General features: G+C 42.2%; 1 protein-coding gene across 56 annotated transcripts in view; it reads left to right on the plus strand.

The window, feature by feature from the left end:
* The window catches only part of NRXN3 (neurexin 3), a 1,697,919-nt gene that overhangs the window by 1,096,239 nt on the left and 582,804 nt on the right, over window positions 1–18,876 (plus strand). For 4 of the 56 annotated variants that reach the window (NR_073546.2, NM_001105250.3, NM_138970.5 and 1 more), the window contains exon 1: window positions 12,769–13,927. The exons of the other annotated variants lie outside the window; for them this stretch is intronic. Coding sequence is in view for 3 of the 4 variants with exons in the window: in NM_001105250.3 (NP_001098720.1) it covers window positions 13,681–13,927 (247 nt within the window). In the remaining variant the exon portion in view is untranslated. Of the gene's footprint in view, window positions 1–12,768; window positions 13,928–18,876 lie in introns of those variants that run through there. 56 annotated transcript variants of the gene reach the window in all.

Raw genomic sequence — 18,876 nt, forward strand, 5'->3', positions numbered from 1 at the left:
AGTGAAGACTGGAGTATCAGGAAATGTACATCTCTAGCCATCAACTAGTAACAAGAATGGCGTAAATGTTCTAGGGACTCACTCTGACATCCAAAGGGAAGGGAGCAACTTCTGAGATTAAGAGACCTTTGGTTTTGTGATGGGAACACAAAAAGTAAACCTATTTGTCCATATCTCCTAAGACTCCAACAAATTATATGAACAACTGCAAGTTATCTGAATATGGAATGAATTATGGATCATCAACTAATTTAATGTAACCCCAGGTTGCAATTCCCGTTTTTAGAGAGGTAACACAAAATATTTTTAATCTCTAAATTGTAAATTGCTCAAGCACCATGTAATAAATATCAATATCTAACACAAATGTTTTGGTCATCACTTAACTATCATATATATAATTGAAAGTTGACTGTAAGTATTGCACAGGAGGGCACAAAAGATATGTAAACTAATTATTATCCAGTAGTCCACACTGACTATCATTTGTATGTCATTTGTTTTATTTTATTGCAAAGTAGGCATGTTGACACGTGTGTTGGGTGACCTGTTATAAACATATAGAAAAACAAAAGGAGAGAAAGAGAGATAATAATTTGATCACAGTTCTCTTTCTAAAAGCATTGCTTTAATATTCTCTTATATACAGGTAGTGATAATTAAGGATATAGAATTATTTTCTAAACACGCATAAATTTATAGTTAAGAGAAAGCATCTCATTTCAATGATAAAATGAGAGATCATTTAATTTTTTTTTTTTTTTTGAGACAGAGTCTCTCTCTATTTCCCAGGCTGGAGTGTAGTGGTGCAATCTTGGCTCACTGCAACCTGCACCTCCCAGGCTCAACCGTTCTCATGCCTCAGCTTCCCTAGTAGCTGGGATTACAAGCATGCACCACCACACCCAGCTAAGTTTTGTATTTTTAGTAGAGAGGGGGTTTCACCATGTTGGCCAGGCTGGTCTTGAACTCCTGGCCTCAAGTGATCCCCCTGACTTGGCCTCCCAAACTGCTAGGTGAGCTACCACACCCAGCTAAGTTTTGTATTTTTAGTAGAGAGGGGGTTTCACCATGTTGGCCAGGCTGGTCTTGAACTCCTGGCCTCAAGTGATTCCCCCTGACTTGGCCTCCCAAACTGCTGGGTGAGCTACCACACCCAGCTGAGATCATTTAATTTTTGATCACAACTATTGGGAGTATTTTAAAATTGTAATTGACGTAGACTGGTATGACATTGGGGACTGATGATATGGAATGTTATTGCTGATTCTTCAGTATGTGGACTTCTTGCATTATGTTCCATATATTCTTAAAAGAATGGGGCTCTCATATAATTTTATTTCAGATATGTCCATTATTTCTGGACTGTTAGTTATGCCATTTAAATTAGGTATAGCCTTGCTACCTTTTTCCAGCTTATCAGTTTTAAGAAAGATATGGTAAATTTATTCAACTAATGGTAAACACTTTTTCTAAACATTGTTCTAGGTTCTGAAGAATCGACAGTGATTGAAGAAACAAAAACATTTACTCCCATGGAACATACATTTTAGTGGGTTTTTTAAATCACAGATTTGTCATTTTTTTTAGTCAGTGTGTGCTTTATATATTTTGAGGTTATGTTATTAGGTGATACAGATCAGGACTGTTACAGCTGATCTAGTTAATTGTTTTTCTTCAGGATATAACGATGTTTTTAGATGTAAAGTCTATTTTGTCTGGCAATAATATTTCCGTATCTGTTTTCTTTTGGTTAACATGTTTCAAGCATATTAGTTAGAATATTTGTTTGACAGTATGGTAGTTCTGCTTCTCTAGGTCACCTCCAGATCCAGGTTGCCTTTTTCTTGTTGCTCAGCCACAGCACATTGGGCAACCTATCAGTTCAGCAAATGTTAACCAGAAGAAAACATGTGGTAATGTCCACATGGGCAAAGTTGGCTCATCACCTCATCCACATTCCAGAAAAGGGGCAAAGAGAAAGCAGAAAGAAAACGTCAGCCTCTTAAGGTATGACTTAGAACTTGCACACATAAATTGCATAGGATTTAGCAACAGAATAGTAATGCCATTTAGACCGTAGACACAGTAGATAGGTGGTTTGGGTTCAAATACTGGCTCTGGCACCTCCTGGCTGTGTGAGTATAGACAAGTTACAATCTATGCCTCATTTTCTCCAATTGTAAAACAGAGATACTTATAATAATATATATCTTATACACATTAATCAAGTATTGGTTATTATTATTACCTTTATTTTTCTTCTGCAGTTTCTAGAATGCCTTTGTTTAATCACTTCAACCATATTTATTTTGGCAATGTATTTCAGATTGTTCTATTACGTCACATTATTTGATCCCTTGTTCTACCATTGTTGTGGTTATTAACTCTCTCTCATGGTGGACTATTTTCTTACTAAATTTTTATTTTTCTTATTTTATTTTATTTTATTTTTTGAGACGGAGTCTCGCTCTGTCGCCAAGGCTGGAGTGCAGTGGCACAATCTCGGCTCACTGCAAGCTCCGCCTCCCGGGTTCACGCCATTCTCCTGCCTCAGCCTCCCAAGTAGCTGGGACTTCAGGTGCCCGCCACCACGCCCGGCTAATTTTTTGTATTTTCAGTAGAGACGGGGTTTCACCATGTTAGCCAGGATTGTCTCGATCTCCTGACCTTGTGATCCACCCACCTTGGCCTCCCAAAGTGCTGGGATTACAGGAGTGAGCCACCGCATCCGGCCCTATTTTTCTTATTTTGTACTGAAGTTTATGATACTGTAGGAGCTATGCATGCCTCACTCTAGAAGAAAATTCCAGCTATTCTGACATTAATATAGCATATGATACTAAACAAGTCACTCTCTTCTGTATCTGAGTTTATCCTAGGTATCTCCTGAATAGCTAACATCCTTCTTTTTCTTACCGGCGACTGAGGAGAGATGGCCTTGTGTTGGTTAGACAGAGCAAAGTAGTTCTGCAGTCTGTCCCACGGTTCTCAGGCTACACGTCTTTATTTAGGGTGATTCATTTTTATTTATGTTTAGCCCACCATAGTTCCATGCTGAAGAGGTAAGGAACAATAGGGTAAGCAAGCCAGCCAGCATATTCTTCCCATACCGATGAGCTTTTCACCAGAGGAAAATGCCCTCTCAGATCACAGAAACAGTAGCTGTGTAGGTGTTGCTAGTGGAGAAAAAAAAATGTTTGGTATTTAAAATAGAAACATAAAATTGTTAATAAGTCTACAGACAACTTGTATTGCATGCAGAAATAAAAAATGAAGTCCTAGTACAACAATACTGCTTAGTCTTGGATTCATTTTACAGAAGTTTAAGATTCCTCACCTCAATGAATGAGATTTTAATAAACAGAAGTGTATTAGAATATTTGCAGCATCCAGGCATTGGGTTTGAGCCTCAAAATAAGGCCAGGGATGACATTTAAGTAAATTCAGAAGTAAAAAGCAAATGGAAAACACTTTTAATGATGTGTCACATAATGTAAAATGTGAAAAATAACTTAGAGGTTATATACTCCATCCTCTTGCTTCAGGGTCCCTAACAGGCATCTCTCACTTGAGCATACCCTGTGATGGGGAGCTCACTGCCTTGCAGTGAATCTTTGATTTTGCTGTGGCTCCAAATGTTGGAAAGTGATTCCTTATGAGATAATTGCATATTTTGGAGGTTCCCCCACCACACACACATACACAGAAGAAATGTTCTCCCCTATAGTAATTCAAAATATCTCGATAGTATTGCACAAATATCCATTAAGTGTCTCCTATGGGCCTAAAACTGTGGACAATTGGAGATAAGGAATATTGTCGTTTTCATTTTGCCTGTGAGAAAAAGAGTTTTCGGAGGCTAGGTAACTTGTCCAAGGAAACGATTGAGCAGAGATTTGAACTTAAGCTCTCTGGCCCTGGAATTTAAGCTGTCTGGCTCTAGGACTAGGCCCTCATTCCCTGCATGATTTCAGAATTCATGATTCCATGAATCATGTAGGGAACCCAGATATAAATCAACTGATAATAACAGAATGTGGCAAGTGTGAACAGAACTGTACTTTAGGAAGCTAGGAAAGAACAACTAATTCTGCCTGTCCAGATTGGAAATAGTAAGTTTTGAAGACATAGACACCATCAATGCCAAAGTATTGTTATCATAATGTTGTTTCACCTATTTTAAGAAAAATCTGTTTCTTCTACCTATGACATAAACTTACATTTCAGTATCCCCCACCTCACCTCGTCATCAGTTTTAGAATGTGCTAAATTCTCAATACTACTGAGAAATGCCCTTATTCCCCATATTGCAAAGATTTCTGGGGCTGCTTAATAACACTTTGTACCTTCTGTTCAGAGAACATTCATCTTATTCTCCTCTCAAATTCTCTGTTAAGTAAATTTAATACTACATAGCATCAAGAGGAAAGTGACCATTTATTTTAGATCTGTATCTATCTTAGACGATGTACTTTTCATGGAATAGTGAGTGAGACAGACACTTGAGTCAGGTGATGTTTGAACTAGGATGTTCCCAGAATTAAATGGTAGTCTCTTAAATTGGATCTCATGAGTACTTTAGTATCTGAAAAGTAACTACATGGAATAAATTAAACAGAGGAAAACTCCTGGCTATGCCATTATTAAACTTTTTTAAAAATATGGTCTTTATTTGACATTTCTGAGTATGGCAACCCATTCCTTGGAAATAAAGAATGTGGCTTCCAACACATGAGTTTCCCCCTCCCTCTCCCCTCCCCTCCCTTACCTTCCTCCTTCTTCCTTCCCCTTCCCTTTCTTTCCCTTCCCCTTTCTTTCCTTTCCCCTTTTTTTCCCTTCCCTTCCCTCCCCTCCCACCCCTTACCTTCCCCCTTCCTGTCTCCTTTTTTCCCCTTCCCTCCCCTCCTCTTTCTTCCCCTTCCCTTTCCCTGGCCTGCCCTTTCCTTCCCTTTCTCCCTTCCCTCCCTTCCTCTTCCCTTCCCTTCTCCTGCCGTGCCTTGCCTTTCTGTATCCCATGGAATACCTCTCTTTTGCATTGGAAGAAAAACTTGATCCCTTTTGGAGCTCTTTGGGCTTTAAAGGTTTAAGTGCCAAGTGAACGCTGGGCTTGTTTGCCTCCTTTAGGAAGCCCCGTGTGGATGATTCCACCCCTCATTGATAATCTTCTTACTTTACACTCCCCTTTCTCTGCCAATTTAAAATCATTCAAAATCAAGTTCATCATAATAGTGAACGTCAATTTACAATGCTCTTTTCCAAGATAACTTCTTTTCAAACCCTCAAAACTATTCTATGAGGTAGAGATGATTCATAGTTGTACAGTTGAGGAAGCAGGCTCAAAAAGTTTAAGGTAACTTGTTCAAAGTCATATAGCCAGTGGACCCAGGATTTGAACTCTAGTCTTTTAACACTCAGTTTACGTGTTACCTTGTCTATGAATCCTTCTTGATGGTCCCTGCTTTCCCTGCCGTAGATCAGTAGATCAATTCCATTCTCTATTCCCCTGTGTGCTTTGTTTATACCTTTGTTCTAGCACTTATCACATTGTATTTGGGAAGCAGTGTATTTAAATGGATTTGTGGCTGGTCTAATTTGGTTTAGGTTTTTTTTTTTTTTTTTCCTGTTAGTTTATTTACTTCCTAAGGCCTGAAATCTCTTCTTCATTATTTGACCTGCTGGACTTCATGCAGTGCTTTGCCCATAGTATGTATAAATTTAGTGTTCATGGAGAAAATGAATCAATGCACCAAAGTGAAGGACAGGGGCTGCGGTTTCTTTGTATCCTGAGTGGAACCTAGTTCAGAGGTACAGTCACAATCACTTTTAAAAAAATGTTGAATAATAATGAAATACTACATAAATCCAATAGAAATTCTTAAAATATTTAGAAGGCATGTTTTCTAGGAAGAAGGCTAATTATTAGAATTTATTTTTTATTCTAGAGAAGAAAGAGAGAAAATAAAGAATTAAAGAAATAGGAAAGAGAAGTCACTAGAGAGCCCTTTCACGTCCCAGAGCAGATTAGGATCTTGAGAGCTCTACCCTACTCTGACAAATAATTACTTATAAAACAATTCTGGGGTTTCATAGCCTGCATTACCTGGTTCCAGGGACCAATCATGAGCTTCGTTGTTTTGGAGTTGGCTTGGAGGACATTTATAAGAAACATGTGATGAAGTTGCCCCTTTTTCTGCAGAAGATAGGCAAAGAGAATCCCATGAGTTGGGTAACATGTGGGACAGATTTTGCATTCCGTGATTTGAAATTATGGGTGGGGGCCGGGTGCGGTGGCTCACGCCTGTAATCCCAGCACTTTGGGAGGCCAAGACGAGCGGATCACGAGGTCAGGAGATGGAGACCATCCTGGCTAACATGGTGAAACCCCATCTCTACTAAAAATACAAAAAATTAGCTGGGCATGGTGGCTTGCGCCTGTAATTCCCGCTACTCGGGAGGATGAAAAAGGAGAATTGCTTGAACCTGGGAGGCGGAGATTGCAGTGAGCAGAGATCACGCCACTGCATTCCAGCCAGGGCGGCAATGCAAGACTCTGTGGCCAAAAAAAAAAAAAAAAAAAAAAAAAAAATGGGTGGGAGGGAGGGTGTTTACTCCCTGCCCTGGAGATTTGTATAAACAGGAAAAGAAGACTGTTTTCTTGTTTAGTCTTTTAAACTAAAGACTTTTCTCTCATCTGGAGAAAAAAATAATAATGGTAGTAATAATAATAATAATAAAATGGGCCGGGCACGGTGGCTCACGCCTGTAATCCCAGCACTTTGGGAGGCCAAGACGAGCGGATCACGAGGTCAGGAGATGGAGACCATCCTGGCTAACATGGTGAAACCCCGTCTCTACTCAAAATACAAAACATTAGCCAGGCGTGGTGGTGGGCACCTGTAGTCCCAGCTACTTGGAAGGCTGAGGCAGGAGAATGGCATGAACCCAGGAGGCGCAGCTTGCAGTGAGCCAAGATCGCGCCACTGCACTCCAGCCTGGGTGACAGAGTGAGACTCCGTCTCAAAATAAATAAATACATAAAATAAAATAATTTTTATTATTGATCATTTTTGTGTGTCGGGTACTATTTCTAGACAATTTACATGTATTAACTTTAAACTTGACAACAAACCTATTAGATAGATGGTATGATTACTCCCATTTCACAGATGAAGAAACTAAACTACAAAGAAGCTAAGATCGAGCCGGGCATGATGGCTCACACCTGTAATGCCAGCATTTTGAGAGTCCGAGGTGGGCAGATCACGAGGTCAGGAGTTCGAGACCAGCCTGGCCAACATGGTGAAACCCTGTCTCTACTAAATATACAAAAAAATTAGCCGGGCATGGTGGTGCATTCCTGTAATCCCAGCTACTCGGGAGGCTGAAGCAGGAGAATTGCTTGAACTGGGACCCGGGAGGTGGAGGTTGCATTGAGCCGAGATTACGCACTGCACTCCAGTCTTGGTGACAGAGCAAGACTCCGTCTCAAAAAAAAAAAAAAAAAAGAGGCTAAGATCTTGGCCACGTTTTCACAGCAGCTAACAAGCAGAATCAGGATTTGAACCTAGGCCGTGGAGCACCAGAGCCCATTCTAAATCTGAATGCACTCTCAAAGTGTCTTGCAGGGAGGTGAGCCCAGTCTGTCTCTCTCAGACTTCAAGACCATTTGCAGTGGTCCCCATACCTATTGCAATGATTCTGAATAAAGTCTCCTGTACCAAAAAAATAAAAAGTATTCTCTAAATCTTTAATATTTTATCCTAGAAACAAATGAGATTATTCCTTCTTTTATTGTGATAACATATTATGATAACTCATTTTATTTGATTCCCTAAAACCGGACAGAGATTTCCATGGTGCTGAGGATACGAAGTTTAGACCTTCGATAGCTAGTCTAAGCTTAGTGGAGATCTGATATCCAATCTAAGCTTAGTGAAGACAAACAGGTTGTAAATGCCCAAATCTCTCTATGAGAAACTAATTAAGCCCTGCCTTTGAGTAAAAGAGAAAAAAAAAAAAATGCTTCTATATTAAAATAACTTCATTTGGAGTTCAAAGGAAGCTAAATAAGGTTTTCACAGGAAGAGTTCATATTTTTTTAATCCTTAAAGTAATGTGTATAAGTTTCAATGAAGTAAATGTCCCAGCTACATTATTCAAACTCAAGAGATTAAAAATATTTTTTTTCCAACATCCAAACTCCTGATATCCCTATTTCAGCCACAGGGAGGACAAGGGCATAACTATGGATGTTTATTAGAAGGATAAGTTAAAGAGGCAGAAGCAGTATATACATTCTCTAAACTATACATTTATACAAGGATGCCATTGTCTTTTTTTAAGCAAATACTTGTAGAAGTGATGTCTAAAAGAATAAAGCTTCTCTTCTATATCTCCAAATAGAAAATATAATCAAAATCCGCTTTTATGTAGGATGGCTTTTTTAAATAAATAAGCAGAAGGATGAATTATGTGGCTATAAATAAATCTACTGACATGTAATAAAGCAAAGTCGAACTGTTTTATGGTGTCACTGAAACCCTTAGATATATTTATAGCCATGTTAACAGTCCCCAGTATTTTTTCAGGACTTTTATTTCATTTCACATTATGAGAGTTTAGTTGTTTGTTTTTCTCTCCCTAAATTGCCTTCTGGAGCCCTTTGTAGAGATAGAAAGTAAGGATCTCTACTCTTCATATTTGGAAAAAAAAAGGGTCTTCACCGAAAAAGCTTAGGGCTCACACAGAAACAGTCGGTTCTGATGCTTTCTGGTCTGCCTGTTTCTGTGCAGTTCATATGAGATGTGCCTGCGAAGAACAACTTGACAGGTAGCTCCTGCTGGCAGCAAAGTGGCAAGTCAGAGTCTATACAAGTGAGGAGAGGCCTGTGCAGAGATAAAATGTACAGTACTGTAGAAAACAAGCAGATGGACAGAGCAACTTTGCATTAGATTCCTGATGCCTGACACATTTAAATACAATCACAAGGCTTATTTCAGAAGCCAAAGAATCTCCAGACTATCACATAGCCGAGGCACAGACCAAAACAAGATAAAGGGTCTGATGGGTAAAGATGCTCACACCTTACCCTGGGACATTCTCTTGCAGGGTGAGGATGGGGGGGGGGACATTTAAAAAGCAAGAGGAGAAGGTTTATAATACCAGTTCTAAAGCCTGAAGTAATATAGGGGTTTTTTAAAATTGTATTCCATTTAGAAATTTCAGGATCCAAAGAGTATGGTTAGGATTCCGTGGGGGGTTTATTCAAGTGGAGCTAAGCGTGGTTGTTCCTGTGAAATTATTTATATTTTTCAACTTGAAATCTGGGTGAGCATAGTGTTTCTAAATCTATTTCTCTTCTTTTCTATCTTAAAAGTGGACTCTCATTTTCATCCTGTAGCTATACACTTGATTCCCAAGTGTTATCACTCAAGGGACCCACTAGAAAAGCCAACTCAAGAGGAAGAGGAGAGCTTTTGATGGTAGGACAAGGGATGACAAATCCTTCAGCTGGAACTCTAGCTACAGGCAGTATTTAGAAAGTATCACTGGAGCTAAAAATCTTTAAAAATGTATTTAATGTGTTAGACTAATATAGGCTCTAAAAGACCTAAAAAGAACAGGATCCAGAAAAGAAGTCGAAATAGGAATGTGTTAACTAGAGGGAGGGGCAGGAGGGATAAGAAACACATGAAAAAATTAACAGTGGGGTAAATTGGAGAGGGACATTCATTTTATTAGGATAATTGGGGGTTGTCTCTTTGTAGTGGAAGAAGTAAAATAGACCTGTCTTACATTTGTCCTCTGAAGAGTCTTCTCAGTATTTAACTGTGTTCCCAAATGGAATCAGCCTTACCAAAATTCACGGTGACTTCTTTTGACATTTTGCAAAAAGTAAATAAATAAATTATAAGTATGACAAGTGAAATGAATAGTTCCAGCTGTGATGCACCAGCAGCATTTCCAGATTTTGTACTGCATTAAGGATTTATTTTCTCTTTATTGCCTAGCAGAGAATTAATTGGAAGGTCCATCTAAGCTTCCCACACATCCTCAGAATGAAGTCAAAGCAGTCTCCAATGCTCAATGCCAATTAAAAAAAAAAAAAAAAAAGAAAAACAGTAAGTGGGTAGGTGGTCAGTTTATCAACTCTGGAAAAGCTTGTCTTTGAGGATTCACACTGCTAAAGCCAGACAAACGCATCAGCAAAATTAATGGCATAAGGAAAATGTGAGTATGAGATTGGCAATTGATTCACTGAGTTCGTTCATTCAGCCAGTATTTACTGAGCCCGTATGATGTGCTACCTATTTTTTCACACACACAGAAAACAGGAGAAAATGAAGACTCAGCCCTCAGAGAGCTTATAACCATTTTAAGGAGATAAACTATGAACAAGTATACAGATAAAATAATTTCAGACACTGGAGAGTGCTGTCAAGGAAATAAAACAAGGTAATGGGAGGGGATGCCTTCCAGGGGTGGTGGTCAACTTTAAATGAGGACCAGAGAGGGTCTCTGAGGAGGTGACATTTGAAATGCACCCATCACATGAAAATCTTGGGGAAAAGCCTTCCAGACAGAAGGGGCCAACAATGCTATAAAGGCCTTGGGATGAGAAAAAACTTCCCACGATCAAAGCAGAAAGACCTGGGGAACTAGAGAGTAGGGAGGAATGGGGCATCTGGCAGGAGATGGAGCTGAAGCATTAGAGTTAAGCAGAGTCATCTAGGCCGCCTTAAGGCCAAAAGTGCAGTGGAAATCCACCTGGGGACTAAATCAAGGAGTGGTTGAATTGAGTGGAAATTATCATGGATATTTAGGATATTAAGAATTTTTTCTGGCTTTTCTAGCAATAATAGCATAAGACCCTAACCATGTACTTAACCTGTTCTTCACCTTTTTAGAGCTTCAGCTTATTTTTCTAGTGGACAAAGAATATTGCCACTGTTTGTCAGGTGCTCTACCAGATACTGTATATTTTCTCATTTTAAACCCCCAACAACCTCGAGAGGGAGGCATATTCCTCATTTTACAGAGGAGGAAACTGAGGTTTCAATGGAATGTCCATAAACCACCCCTTCCCCTTGCTGTGGTGTCCCTGAGAGCATGCTGCTGGTTTAAGACACTGCGTGGGGGCACACCCAAAAGTATGCAAGACCTTGTCAGAGGGCCATTTCCTGGGGGGCTGTGGATCCTGGACCACCCTTACAAATGAGAGCCAGGGCAGTTAGGGTGACTGTGTGCATCATTTACTACGGGCAGCTTGAAGCTTTTGGAGGACACCAATTTCAGAACCAGAATACCAGTTCACTGCCATAAATTCTGAAATGGACTTGATGTATGACCTTGAAGGCAAATCACCTGTAGGTTTGGTCTTTTTGTTAGAGAGACATAATGCTGTTTCCTCAACACCTCCTTGGGGTGTCTCAAGGATGAATAGGGCTGTCTTAATCCCTGTTCTTTATCCTCAGGGGGTTTGAAATGAGAGTGGAGTATATAATAGGTGCTATAAGCTCCTTTTAAAAAAGCCTCCTAAATACAACATATATATGTTTTAACCAGCAAGTATTGTTCACTCACCTCCCCTTCCTCCCTGCAAATGTAATGGGCTTTTTACCCAAGGTGAATGGTAGGAGGGAGTCAAAGCTAGCAAGACCTGTGTGGACAACAACCTGGCCTGAGAGGGCAGCCTGTTGGGTTTGTCCTTCCTGCGCATGAGACATACTGGAGGGGTGGATGCCGCCTAGTCCACAGTGTTACCGTGTCCTGGCAGAGCCTTGGGTCAGTCCCCTCCTGGAGTCACAGATGGCCACGACAGAGGACAGGTGCTGCCATTCTGGCTCTCCCCTGCGTGTTCAGTCGTGAGGTAAACACCGTGCTGTCTTTGATGCCCAGCGCCCAGGGGACTTCACCCACCTGGGGCAGCCCTTCTGCAGCCAGTTCCGGACAGGCGCCAGTCACTTCTCTTTGAGCCAGCCGACTTGGCCCTCTCCCCTTCTGAAGTTTTTTGATCAGGACTACAGGCGCGGACGATAACCTCTGGATTTTGAATCCCAACAGTGTCCTATCCACCACCGGGGGTGGCAGCCACCTTCTGGAAGGACTGCCAATCACGGAGCCCTTCACCCTTTGGAGTCCCCAGGCCACCGCTCCACCTTCACTTTTGGGAGTCCGGACTCAGATTCCCATCATTCGCCCTGCGGGAGGGGCCCTGGGCATTTTAACCCCGGGAGACACACGCGCCTGGAGAGTGGTCGCCCAAGCCACCGCCAGGCAGGGAGGAGCGCGCGTGCGGCACCACCGCGTGCAGCAGCTCCAGCGCTCGCGCTGCCTCAAGGGGTTTATTTTTATTTCTATTTGGAGCTACTTCGGCCTTAGCCGCCGCCCTTACTTTTCCTCCGAAATTGTGAGAAGGTGCCTTCATGGCTGGAGTTTGGTTTCACGCGCCTGGGAGAAGAGCAGGGCACGGGTGATAAAGAAGGCGCAGTGTCGGTCTGTCGGTGTCACACACGCGCGCACACACGGCGGGGCGGGAGCCGCGCGAGCGAGAGGAGGGCGGGCGGCGTGTGCTGGAGGCTCGCGCGGGTGTATACGAGCCTGTGCTTGAATGGGAAGGGCCGGGATTCCGGGTCGCTCTGGCCCCTCCTTCCTCCGGAGCCAGCCAGTCCCTCGGCAGAGCGCTGGGGCTGCACTGATTTGCTCTCGGGAGTGCGCTATTTGCATATGACTTGCCCATTTGTGAATTTGGCTCCCCAACTCCTCGCTTCACTTCACCTGTGCCTCCCTGGTCCGCGCACTTCGCAGGCGCCCGCCCGCCTCTCGGCCACCTCTGCAGCCTGCCAGGCACCTCCTCTTGCGCTCTCGCTGATTTCGCCCACCCACCTCCCTCCACCCCGTGCCACGTTGGTTTGGGTGGCTGCTCCGCACCGGGTTCCTCCTCCTCTCCTCTTTCCCTCCAGTCCTTCTTATTCTCTTCCTCTGGCTGCGGTGGCTGCTGCTGCTGCTGGTTTTCATCCAGTTGGGAAACCCAGGAAGCCGGCGGCTGCTCCGTGGCGCTAGTCCAGCACGCCCAGGGTTAAAAGCCTCGCGCCCTTCCGCGGAGACTCCCAGGAACACCCGAAGAACTCTTCCACCTGCAGCCCCCTTTTGCCTGGCAGTTCTGCATTGCATCTCATGGAAGTGGAAACAGGAAAATAAAAATGTTCAAACTCCTTGGATGTTGGGATAAACTCACCTGAACCCACTTGGGTTCGGGCTGCCTCCTTCTCTTCCTTCATTGCCACCTTTCCTCTGTGTGGCTCCCGGGAGTGTGCGGTTAAGTCATCAGACTCGAAGTGCCTAGAGATCCGGAGGAAGCCGCGCCGGTCTTCCCCTGACATGCGTGGCATGCCGGGGCTCCGTAGGAGGTTTGCTATACCTGGGAGGACCCTGGCATTCTAAATTTCAGCTCCGGGAAAGAGAAGGGGCTTTTTGCCTTTTATCTTTTTTTTTTCTTTCTTTAAGTAGTAATTTTTTAACTGATTCATTGTTTGGAAAGCGCATATTGCTTCCCTCTTCCCCGAATTCTGGCAACTCTTCCTCCTGCTATGATGGGCCCTTGGGCATCATGAACTTCATTACTCCTCACTGGCTGGAATTCAAACTGCCCATCTGTAGTGGTCCCGTGCGTTGACCATGCACCTGAGAATCCACGCGAGACGGAGCCCTCCTCGCCGGCCGGCCTGGACGCTTGGGATCTGGTTCCTGTTCTGGGGATGTATCGTCAGCTCTGTATGGAGTTCTTCTAATGTAGCTTCCTCCTCCTCCACCTCTTCCTCGCCGGGGTCTCACTCTCAGCACGAGCACCATTTCCATGGCAGCAAGCATCACTCAGTGCCTATTTCTATCTATCGTTCCCCTGTTTCCCTTCGAGGAGGACACGGTAGGTCTCTCTGCTCTTTATCCTTTTAATGGGGCATAGCAATTCGCTAACCCACTAGCCTTGCAGGTAGTGTCAAAGGTGGGAAGGGAATTTAAAAAAAATGAATTTAAAATGATGAAAAGCATCGTATGTCCATGAGGGAAGCAAATTTCTACTTTCTCATAAAGGTTAGTGTTTTCTGCCCCTAGCCTCCGACAACCATCTCCACTTTTCTCTAAAGGGTTCTTTTCCCCTTAGCTCCCTCATTCATAGCTGCACAGACACCACACTCTCTCTTTTGCAACCTTCTACTCTCTCCACCCCCACGGAGACAGGCAACTTATCAGGTGAGTCCCAGTGCTGTACTTGGAGAAATATTCATTCACCTTGCTTTCACCCTTCTTTGCTGTGGTCTTGCTTGGGAGCTAGTGGGGGTGGGGTGGGAATAGCTGACAACAGGAATCAGGTTTTCAGCCTGAAGTTGATTGAACTGTTATAAAGTAGCCTGTGTGGTAATGGTCAGGGAAAAGTAGCCGAACATAAGAAGGCAGAAAATATAATTAACAACCTGTGGCCATTTGTGTTGAATTTGGCAGCTTTATGTTTGTCCACATATCTAGTGGAAAAAGCAGCTATCTCTAAAACTACACATCTACTATTGCTATCAGAAAGGAAGCAATATGTAAGATAAGGCTAAGTTCATTTATAATTTACCCAAGTGTAAATGACAGTAACTTGGATTCCCCGTGTATGCAAATGTTATTTCATCTTTAGGTAGCAGAGATGGGCTTGTTCACACAATACAGGTACGATGGGTTTTACTCCAAACAACCCTCCTTACATGGCTATTGAGGGAAGAGATCTATGGCTCTGAAAATGATACTCAGCTGTTAGCCGGCTGCCTCTAAAAGGGCGATGTCTGCAGCTAAGGTAGGAGCTTGCTGTGGTAAACTGTTCTAAAGAAAGGAGCTTCTTAATTTGTTTACTATGCACTCCACTCTGATGGTAAGGAGAGTAGGACACACAGAAATGGAGACTGGTCTTGCTTGGGAGCTAGTGGGGGTGGGGTGGGAATAGCTGACAACAGGAATCAGGTTTTCAGCCTGAAGTTGATTGAACTGTTATAAAGTAGCCTGTGTGGTAATGGTCAGGGAAAAGTAGCCAAATATAAGAAGGCAGAAAATATAATTAACAACCCGTGGCCATTTGTGTTGGTTTTGGCAGCTTTATGTTTGCAGGAACAGCCCTCCAGGGAACATGAGCGTGAACCATACTAGGGGGTTCCTGCCCTTGTATTTTGAAGACTGATAACATCCAGACCCTATTTGGAAAGTTGATTCTTCCTGCTGCCTCCTAGCCCTGAGCTTTGGCTTTATGCTGTCTGTAGTGTAAGTGGAAGCACATTGAGAAAATGCCAGCACATACTCTGGCTCTTTTTGACTCTGTCTTTAAATTTTATTTGATGGAGTTGTCAAGCAGCTCACAGCTTGTAAGGTTGGTGGAGGGGGATGGTGAAAAGAAGGGATTGCTTGATCTTGATCTGGTGGCTCTTTTCTCTGTGACTCCTGCTGGGTCTGGTGTTGGCTCCCTTAAAAAAGAAAGAAGCAAACAAACCTAGGAGAAAAAAGAGCCACAACCACCAAAAAAGCAATTTCATTGACATGGAAACTTAGCTCCTAAGGGGGAGAGGGACTGGGGGGAGCGGGTAAGACAGGAAAAAAAGAGGGAGTGGGAGATAGGGGAAGCCAGAGAGACTGTTACTAATAGCCATAATTAAACACGGAAATGCTCAGAGATTAGCTAAATTTTGCTAATTACTGTAAATGATCAGCAGGGAGAGGAAGATTATGCATTACAGGTTATGGGTGGCAGGGTCTTGATATCTTTTGTTCGGGTTGTAAACAGTTACAGCAGATACTAGTAAGTGATGGAATTTGCAGAGCAGTACTTCCCTAGGGTCCCTAAGTCAGAGTCAGTCTCTCTCTCTCTCTCTCTCTCATAAAGGGGTTGAGCCTTGCACAGGTTAAACATGACCCTTTATTTAGTTTATTTCTTCAACGATTGGTTGCTCAGTCTCCTTTAAATCTTTTTGACTGGTCCCCAGTCTAGTTTCTCATTAACCTACATCTGATAAGGTTCAGTGTGATGGAAAATAAGAAGAAAGTAAGTAAATGGCTAGAGACCCCAGAAAAGGCCCTCAGACTCACCAGAGCTGTAGAGTACAGTGAACTCCATCCAGGGTCTGGCATGGCTGAGATAAGAAAACTCATGAATTCAGCTCTTCAGAATCCTCTTTCAATCCTGAAGTCCCAACTCATTGATTTGGGGCTTGGAGAGTGAATGCATCTGTATTAAGTAGACTCCTTGCATATTTAATTGGTGTTTTTGAGCATAAAATCAAGAGAAGCAGCAATCAACAAAATATCCCTACCTCTGGCTTCCATCCTGCACCCAAGCTGTGACCCTTTGCGTCTCTAACTAAAAGGACCAGAAGACCCCACAGAGCTTTGCTAATGCACTTCTCATTCTTACTTGGTGTACACTTGCTTTTTCCTAGTCCAAGACAAAGACCTAGCTAACAGCAATTGTTTTAAAAAATATTTTTGGATGGAGGTGGTAGGAGGCATGGCACCAAGAGACTGATGGTTGTTATTGATGATTTACTGCCAATCTTATTCCAGAGTTAAAGGCAGCACTCTCTGTTGTCTGTGAAAAAGTAAATGCCCTTGATTTTGGTATGAAAGAAAACTAGAGCCTTGAGTCCAAGAATCTTCTTTGGACTTAAGAGATTGTTGTTTTTTTAACTACACTTGCTCTTCCCTTGCCCATTTCCTGAGAAGCCAAAGTCCTCAAAGCTGCTGTTCATCAGTTGGTGCTCCCACCCCCTTTCTCTACTATCCAGACCTATAGAGAGATTCATGCTAAGACAGATGGAAGAAACAGAAATCCTCCAAATAGCTGATATTTTACCTACACTTTTGCCTGTGCTTGGTTCCAAGCTTTAGAAAATTGGTTATATTATAGATTTGCTTAAAGCCTTTATCCCAGGACAGCCTAGAGGATGCTGGGATTCTTTGTAAATTAGGGAGACTAAGGCCACACTTACCTGGGGTGCCCCCAAAAAATCTCACATTAGGATTGTGTTTCAGGATAGGATTAACCTTCTTCTTAATGGGAATCTAGTAGGCTCTTCCCCATTCTGTTAGAGTCCTCACCCCACTTTCATGCTCTCTTCTGTTCACCAGTCAGTCAATACTCTTTGAGCACATACTCTGTGCCAGGCTGTGGGCTACTGCTGAAGATACAGAACCGAATAAGACATTGTGGTGTTCAGCTAGGAATAATTGCAAAAGTATATATATATATGCTTCCATATTTTAAAAAGTGCAAGGAGTGGGTGGAGATCCAAATACCAAGCGAAATTAATACAAAATCAAAATATCCTTTATAAAATGAAGGTTTACATTATCCTGTTATTTAAAATATCCCTCCAGGTTCCTTTTCATCCTTGGCTTTATTTCCATATGTAAATATCATTTTTTATCAAAGTGCAAGGTAGTTTAGTGATTACAGATATATAAATAGTAAAATATATTTGTTTACCAAGCTTTAATTACATAAGCAACTTTTGTATATTTTTTCCTTCTTTTTTTCCCTCTCTCTCTTAAAGGTCATTGGACCTTTAAGAAATCCAATGTGTCTGGGCATGGTGGCTCACACCTGTAATCCTAGCACTTTGGGAGGCCGAGGTGGGGGGATCACCTGAGGTCAAGAGTTTGAGACCTGCCTGGCCAACATGGGGAAACCCCGTCTCTACTAAAAATACATATATATATATATATATATATATATATATATATATATATATGTATCTCCAATGTACATCTGCCTAAAAAATGCTTCAGTATTTATAGTTTAAATGCAGGTTTCTCTAAGGATTCAAGGTTTTATATGTACCTTAAATGCTATTCTCTATAAAACAGCAGACTTTCCTGCCTCTGTAGACGATTTGTGGGGACTAGTTGAGGACATGGAACTCTTGGAAAGCTCAGTTTTAAAAGGGAACACACCACGCTATATTTGCAGGAAGAACTCTTGCTCAGAAACCAGGGTGTGTGAAAAGGGGGAGTATAAAAGTCCTATTCAAACCATCTTAGCAGAAGTGGTGGTGATGGGCCCCCTTGTGACACATGATCCTGGAGTCTTTCTTGGACTCATTCCTTGTCCCAGGGATCCACCCCCAAAGTTTTTTCAGCCTTGGGGGCTTGTTTTGCTTTGATCTATTGAGTGCCTTCTTCTGCTCAGCCAGCTGCTTTCTAACCACTTTCTTTATGCCTGCCTTCTTGAGATTCAGGGAGTTGAATAATTCATAGTGTTGGTTGACAGATCAAATGATAAGATTTATATATCTTTGGCCTTGGTGATGAATTAATTAGATTGGTTTCTCCATCTTTGGCTCCTCTAGATGCGTTGTTTTTCTTCTTTAAAATTCACTGGTGAGTGGTGGGTCTGGAGATTAACTTGTTCTTGAGAGACCACCATAGGATGATTATAATATCCTAGTGTCAATTTCTTCAGGACTTTCAACATGGATCACTGGGTGGTGTGGAGTAGGGGCAGCTATATCATAGAGAGGAGAGATAAGATCATCAGAACAAAAAACAAGACGCACACACACACACAAAAACTTGCCGATACTGGCTGCGGGATGAAATTTTACAGTAAGAACTTGATTGCTTTCACCTCAGATTTTGAATCTAAAAGAGAAATGTATTTCATTTTACATTTTAGTAAATGAACTTATCAGCCCAAAGAAGTTTGCTTTACTAGAACTCTGGGTGACCAGGGAGGGAAGCAAATCTCTGAAGATAAATCTTGAACTTACTCATACTTTCCTCCTTGTATTAGTTTGCTAGGGCTGCCATAAAGTAGTAAAGTACTATAGACTGGGTGGTTTAAACAAGAGAAAT

The sequence above is a fragment of the Homo sapiens genome, chromosome 14 (assembly GCF_000001405.40).
Source record: "Homo sapiens chromosome 14, GRCh38.p14 Primary Assembly".
NCBI classification, from domain to species: domain Eukaryota; kingdom Metazoa; phylum Chordata; class Mammalia; order Primates; family Hominidae; genus Homo; species Homo sapiens.